An 8,016-nucleotide genomic window follows, 5' to 3' on the forward strand; every position below is an offset into this window, starting at 1 on the left:
TATTCCAGTAATGTAAGAAATCTTGATAGTGTTTCCATGTGAGCTATTAAGGGGGAAAACTGTATAGCCCCTTCCATGATGAATGGAAGTGCTAGATTCCAAAACTACATACTCCAGAAGAGGAATGTGACTGGCAACGTGGTCAAAGGAAAAGAAGTTAGCCTTCGGGTTTGGAAATCTCTCCCTGTCTCCATGTTCTGAGCTTAAAATATTCAGATGGCTTCAGCTCAGTTACAGCCTCCCTTGGGTGTCCACAGGGGCCTTGAAGGAAGCAGAAGAGAGTTCATCTCACCTGTAAACACTGAAGTAAATGGATGGCCCACCCTTTGTATGCAGAGTGAAGAAAAAGGATTAAACACTGGCGTGGCAATGATGACCAGGCATTTTCTTGGAGGTTACACTTGAAAAACATATAGGGTTTTTCAATCATTTAAAGATAATTCTATCCCAAAGGATTGAAATAATCCAGTTTGGGCCAAACCTACCTGAAAACAAGACATAGAACATTTCTATGATTTACTCATTTTCCCTTCAGAAACTCAAATCTACCACCAGCAATATTGAAAAGATAGAGTGCATTACACCCTGCTATTCACTGATTTCAGCAATGGAAGTGTGAACGTGGGAAACCTGAGTTTATTCATCAGTTTTAAGAAAACCCTCAAGATATAAAGCTGGCTCTGTGGGAATCTTTAGTCTGATTGCTCTAAGAGCAATAGCCACTGTCTAGGAGCAAAAAAGGAGGAATTTAGTGGAAGCTCAGTTCAATTCTAAATGATCTGACTTTGGTTTTATCTGCAGTTTCTTTGCTATGAACCTATAAACAAACCAATAGGGCAGTTTTGGAAAGGAGAGTATTCACAAATCATAGTAACAAGAGTCAGGCCACTAGGGGGGATCGTTAAGCCATTTTGTGCAAAAAGAATGACTTAACTTTTGAAAATGACTGCAGTTTCATTATTTTAAGTCGTCATTAGTCAACTTTAAGCAGGCACAGCACACCAGAACTGGAATTCAATCTTTGTAAGCAAACTCATATCTCCACCTAAAGCGATCAAATGCCTGTAAACATCCCTTTCTTGTTTTAATTGCGAAAGGATTATTGTGGGCTTTGAAGTAATAGCTGTTCCCACTACCTGCTTCCAGAAGCAGCTGTTCCCACAGCATCACAGCAGGTGCAGCCCAGAAGCTGGGCCCTGCCCTTATCATGTAGCGGGTGGTATATTTGCAGAGTCCAATGTGTGTTCAGTCCTGAATTAGCCAACTTTGTTATCTAAATTCTCCTAAACCCAAAGCCTAACAAGAAAATAGCAAAGAGTAATTCCCCCATAATAATCGCAGAGGGATGGGGATCAGGGAGGATGTGAGAGGCCGGACTAAATGAAGCATTTTTTTTTTTTTTCAGACAAAGAGGCAAAACTCTAGATTTAAAAAAAAATGAGAGGGGGGCTGAAATGCACATGTGGAGATTGTTTAAACAAAACTCCAGTGTTTTTAGAATTGCTTCTCCAGCGGATCAGATATCTTGCTTGCCCTACGTTAATAATCATTTTCAAATCAGTAGCTAGAAGTCGGCTCCCTCAGCAGTTCCAAGGCTCCGTGTCAGTGCAGAGGCTGTGTGTGGGAAGCAGCAGAAGGCAGCCTGTTTGGAAAAAGGAGAGCAGGAACTGGGGGCACATCTCAGAAACTCATGATTGTTTCAGTCATTAAACACTGATATTTAATTTGAGCTTTGTAATCCAGGACACTATTATTTGGTCCCAAGCAAAAAGCGGGGGAAAAAGAAAATGAAATGAGTATAATAAAAGAGCAAGGAGGAACCAGCTGCTTTGGGCAAAGAAGGGCAATAAAAGGAATCTTTATAACTGCCGAATGGTGGAATAGGCTTTTTTCTCCCCGCCAAGCAGAATGTCAAATTCTGTCCCCCTTTTTTCCCCTCTTAAAGCGTGCTAAAAGGAAAATTCTTCACAGAATCTTAAAGAACTTTTTTGACACAACAGCTGCAAAATCTATTTTCTAAACAAAGATTTATACATATTTATATGAGCTTAATCCAGATTTTTTTAAATAAATCATCCTCAGAACTGCAGAGGTAAACTATATGTAAATACCTCAAGTAATAGGCTTGTAGTGCAAATCACATCATTTTATCTTCAATTTTGCATTCGTTTTTCTGGCTTAAAGGTGCATCAGAGATATGCATTTTAGCATATTCAGAACACGGGGCGTGAAATTAAATGTTTGACAGAGTGAGAAAAATATACAGACTTTGGAGATGCCTTAAAAATAGTAATTTATGCAGATCTAGAGGAGTGAAATCATTTGCAATGGAGTGACCCTCTCTCCAGGAATTTTGTGCTCAGTGTTCTTCCCTAATCTCCCGCTGTATCTTCATTTTTCATTGAACTAGCCAGTTTTCTGCGAAGCCGTCTTGTAGATAAGGGGAGTGCTAAAGAAGAAGAAAGAGGACGCTCGGTGAGGCCGTTTCCATTGCACTTTTACCCAAGGCAATGGGCAGAATTTAACGGATTCCTTCCAACATATGTTTTTGCCAGATAAGTAAACAGTGTGTGTCGGAAATGAAAAAGCATTTGCAATTTAATGACATTACAGCTCTCAGCTTAGGCTGGCGTGCTGCGAGGCGAAAAGCAGAAAAAGAGAGGAGAGTAGAAAGAGAAAAAGAACAAAGTTCATCTTCCCTTTTGTGCATTTTTATCAAAAAAAATATTACTTCTTTCCCCCTCTTGTTCTCTTTTTCTTTTTCGTCTTTTGGTTTTTTTGTCTCACTCATTTACATTTTTTTTTCTTTCCTGCCTTTCTGTCCTCTGTTCACTTTTACCTTTTTCTTATATTGCCACTGACTCATTTCTTTTTTTCTCTCCATTGTGTCTCCTTATTAATCTATTTTGGCCATTCAGTTTTACCTTATAAGAAGCTGTTTATCCCACAATGTATCTTTTTTTCTGTGTTGTACTCCTATTGCTATAGCTCATAGTCAACAGGATTGTCAAAGGGATTATAACGTTTCATTTGAAAGCTCTACAAATCTGCTCTCTTGCCTTCGGTACCTTCCCCCATTTCCTCTGATACTTGTCATTTTATTTCACGTTCATCGTGGTCTTTAGTTTCACCCCAGACATCACAGTACCCTGATGTCTAACCACTGATACTCACTGTCTTTGCATTGTATGTTGGCACTACAAGGTTCTAGAAACTTAACCTTGAAATGGCAGAACCATTCTCTTCCACCCTTAGTCAAGTTCAGACTGGTATGGACAGTAAACATACCAATGGGTCAGAATTGGTCCTTCCAGTGGCTCATGGTCAGGACAGGGTGTCATATAGTTGATACTTATAATGGGTCATCTTCCAATAGAAATTGAGCCCCCAAAACTGCTGCTGAGTTTGCTGTTACTTTTCCTGTTAAATATGGTGAGAGAGTGATTACTGATACTACAATCTGTATATATGAGTTTTATGATGGTTTGCTTGAGTATACGTGTGTGTTTGTACATGTGTATGAATTAGACTACGTGACAGTGTGCATAGTTGTGTGGAGTTATTTAAGGCAGTGTAGGTCTGTGAATACAGGCATATAGAAAGAAATGATTATCTTTCAGCTTTGATTCTACCCTAAATTCCAGAAGTAAAAGTTGAATGGAAAACCAATATTTTCTCCCCACTCAGGTCCATAACATGTTTATTTTAGGATTATTTTGACTGCTACTTTTACAGGCAGGAATAAGATTTTCCACCAGGTCTCCCTTTTGTGACAGACTAGTTAGATGACCAGGCAACCCCATTCAGAAGCAAGGAATGCCTCTCAGTCATTTTTGCTGCCTTGAGTTGTCACTCTCTCAATCTAAGCAGTTCCTGAACAAACAACTTTTAACATGATTCATCATTGCCTTTTTATTTTTGCAAAACAAGTTGACATATTTTCAATGTTGTTATCATGACCATTTGAATATTAGTACCCAGATTGTTAACGCAAATTTCATTCTAAGTATACAATTGTAAGTTACATGTCAGATCCCAAGGTTAACCTGCAGGTTGAGCATAATTGAAAGGACCATAATCAAATTGCAAGTCCTATCACAGAAGTACTGTACAGACTTTAAAAAGATGCTTAAATAAAATGCTCTTGTCTAAAGACATGTGCATGTTTTCACCGTAAAATTACATCTTCCACATCTTGCAGATCCGGCACTTGGTAAGTAAAAAGAAAATCTATTTGGACATGAGGATGTAAAGTAGCTGGAGGTGGTAATTTAATCAACCAAGGATATATTTCAATGTTTTTCTGGTCTTCTAGGCATTAGCACTTTAAATTCATTATGTCGGTTTGACAGATATATGCAGCCTTAAGGATCTAAAAATGAAATCCTAGAAGTATAGCCTGCTAGAGGATATATATTGAACTTAAGAGATTAAAATGGTATAACCATTGCAACAGAATGGAACATATCGTGTTTCTCATTTTTTTCCCACTAAGCATGAGTATTTTGCAGATGTAAAATACGGTCTTCTCTAATTATAAAACCTGGCTGAAGAGCCAGAGCTTTCTAACTTTTATTACTGATGAAGTGGATATTAGAAAGAAAATGTTGGCTTCATATGGAGTCTGAAGATGAAGAAGTCTTCCATTTGGGATTTTCTATATCAATAATTTATTAAGGAAAATAGTACAAGTGGTTACATGCAGCCTACTGTAAGAGGCAAGTACATTGCATGCTTCTCCTGTTTAAGGCAAATAACAAAAGAGCCAAATTATAAAGCAGGTCTTAACGTAACTGGGACGTTAAATCTACTATATCATTATGCCAATTTAGTAACGTTAATGATCTGTAATATTAATTCATCATCCTGGAAAATGGGGAAAGGTTGCCATAATTAACTATATTAAGCCACAATTAAAAAGTCATCCAAGCTGTTGTAAAGATTCTAGTGATGATAAGCGTGTTTGTTATATTATAAACCTTTCTGACCATGTAAATTTGGTCCATAAGACTTTGTTACAAACAGCCCCTCACTTCGAATTCAGATAAGTCAAAAGAGCAGCCACCCACGGAGGCAGTGGCACCGACTAGACGCCTTATCAGCCATTTCCATCGCCAACTGCAGTTTAACACTTTCTTACAGGGAGAATCGGCTTTGAAAGAGGTACAACCTTTTAGCATATCTACTTTAATTCCTCACAGGGAAGCAAAACCAGGCTGTCTAGTGAAATTCACATATGTCAGACAGACTATCTACTCCCCTAAGATTAGGGTCATCTTTGAAAGTCACATTTCAAACTGGCACAAAATGAACATTTTGATGTTTCTAAATGGAGATCCTATAACGTCTAAGCCTAAACCCAAGTTGCCTATCACCAGATGTCTGATAAGCTCTTAATTCTCCTCCCTACCCATTTGAAGTCTCTATTGTGGATGGGAGTCTTTAGGTTACAGACAATGTCAGGAGAAAAGATAAATGGAACCATGCATGGGGTGAGATGCAGCCAAGATGACAACCCATTTAACTTTCCCGTCCAAAGGACTCCCTTTGTCTTTGACGGGACAGATCAGCTGGTGATAAAGGACTATTTCCTCTTTCACTAAGAAATATGATAAACCCCAACTTTGCCTTACACCTACCGTTATTATCCTTGCCATTAATGATCATGAGTTCCTCCTCCCTAAAGCAACATTTAGTATGCTGCTACCTCTATGCATAAACCACCCCTGAAGTGCATCTATAATCAGTGACTGTCATTGCTGTGGTAAGCTGAGTGACAGAGGAAGTAACAGGGATAAGTTGCACACACTTGCAGCTGGAATTAGTTTATGGCAACTGACAAAGAAAACACATCACCAGCTTGTTTTGAATAGGGTACTCAGGATTTATATATGCAGAGGTTCATAAGGGATTCCCGTGTCTATTGGTATGGCCTGTTTTTTGGCTATTAAGCCTAAAGCCCCCTTGCAAACCCCAAAACACACCTGACACAGCATTGCTCAGCATTTGATAAAGATGTTTGGTGAGGAAGAAGGTGCAACAAATCCCTTAGCAGATTATTTCCCCACACTATGAGCCTTTCTATTGATATAATGGTATGTCCCAAAAGAGCCAAATTATAAAACAGACACAAATACACATACACTCAACGCTGATTTCTGCAGCATGCCCCATGCCGGAAAAGTCTCGCCAACATCATCAACGTGCTATCCTAGTGACGGGGGCAAATCATTTGTCAATCTCAGCTTTACTGATGCAAGTAGTGACACGAGGTAGCTCATTCCAACCTCCTCACTCAGCAGAAAACAGCAACTTGTTCTCAGAGAAAAATGTCTGCTCATGTGAATACCCGGGGAGCCAGTTCAAACATCCAGCCAAAAAAGAGTTACTTCCCTTTAGGGAATGCTGGAAGTTTCATGACTGTTGCCCAAAGAGAAGTCCCTTCAAATGTGATACTGGATAGGGAAGTAGCAGTTACTGCTTCTCAGAGGAAAGGAGTCTCTCTTCCAATAGTCATTGCCAGAGGAAAGCAAGTCTTACATGACGTCTTGGAAATGCAAAGAAGTCTACCAAACCAAGCTCACCTTCATCCCCATCCTTCTAGAGCAATCACCATCAAGAAATTTGATTTACCCTTCCTCTGCAATAATGTGTAGCCAAATGAAGGTGAAAAGACATAGTTTTCTAGACAGGTTTACAAAAATCCTAGCACTAACCCAGCCAAGATTAAACAAAGAGGATCTTGCCAAGTCTTCATCCACAGATCTACATAGGTCCAGTTGGATCTTCTATATTTTGAGGACATATTGAAGAATAAAAAGGAGTCATATTTGGGGTACTTTTCTGAGACTCTCAAAACACTTTCCACACTCTGTGAGCTGAAATTCTTGTGAAAACATGTTAAAGAAGTAGTTCCACTACTGACTGCCATTTGTGTGTTCACATTCACACACACACACACACACACAAATGTGTGTGTTATGAAGCACTTTGTAAGATCCTTGCTCTGAAAAGACAAAAGATAGTCTGTCAATCCTGCCATTAGGCATTTCTGAGTGTGGCTAGTGTCTACATTCTGAATGTGGCTAGTGTCCCAGGCCTTGCTGCTCCGTTTAGAATGGTTCTTCCTCTATACTTAGATGGCTACTTCTCAATGTTCATGTTCCTTTTAGTTCATTTATGCTTCTGTTTGGTAAACCTTCTACAGGGACCAACAAATTGCTCAAAGGCAAAGGCCTTGGTCCCTATTTTTTTTGTAACACTGTTCACACAGTGACTCCCCCATGTCTCTGAGTGGGTGGAGAGGAAGTTATACAGGGCAAGGGGAGCACAGAGATGTGCTGCTTAGTAAGAGTTTCTTTACGTTTTTCCATTTCCTGTAATTGGTGCATTGGTATTTCCACAACTCCTGCACATTACCACTGTGTAGGAGTTAGTGTCATATTTATTGACAGGCACCTGTTAAGTCAATGGAACATACAGGGTGCAGGCATGGATTAGGGCCTGAAGATCTTACTCTGGATTATGAGACAGAGCTACTTCTTTTCCTGTCTCGGGTATGCATGAACACATCACATCATGGCTTTCAGTGTTCAGTGGTGACTGGTACATAGGTCTGGGAAGGAACTTAGGGGTCATTGTCTACTTCCCTCATGAGGAGACTGAGACAGAAAAGGGCGCAGTGGCTCATGCCTGTAATCCCAACACTTTGGGAGGCTGAGGTAGGACGATTGCTTGAGCCCAGGAGTTTGAGACCAGCCTGGGCAACATAGGGAGACCTTGTCTCTAAAAATAAAAGAAAAATTAGCTGGGTGTGGTAGCAGATGCCTGTAGTCCCACCTACTAGGGAGACTAAGGCGGGAAGATCGCTTGAACCCAGGAGGTCAAGACTGCAGTGAGCCAGGGTTGCACCACTGCACTCCAACCTGGGCAACAGAGCAAGACCCTGTCTCAATTAAAAAAGAAAGAAAAAGAAAAGAAAAAAAAAGAAAGGTTAAATATCTGCCCAAAGCCAAA

General features: G+C 39.9%; 2 annotated features.

The window, feature by feature from the left end:
- Positions 783-1,284: an enhancer, noted in NCBI's record as "NANOG hESC enhancer chr13:95313022-95313523 (GRCh37/hg19 assembly coordinates)". NCBI's record gives its function as "activates a minimal SCP1, AML or CMV promoter by ChIP-STARR-seq in primed H9 embryonic stem cells {active_cell/tissue: H9 hESC(primed)}" and the evidence as "EXISTENCE:reporter gene assay evidence [ECO:0000049][PMID:30033119]".
- Positions 1,613-3,202: an enhancer, noted in NCBI's record as "VISTA enhancer hs796". NCBI's record gives its function as "enhancer in: forebrain[4/5]" and the evidence as "EXISTENCE:transgenic organism evidence [ECO:0001131][PMID:17130149]".

Source organism: Homo sapiens, chromosome 13 (genome assembly GCF_000001405.40).
Source record: "Homo sapiens chromosome 13, GRCh38.p14 Primary Assembly".
NCBI classification, from domain to species: domain Eukaryota; kingdom Metazoa; phylum Chordata; class Mammalia; order Primates; family Hominidae; genus Homo; species Homo sapiens.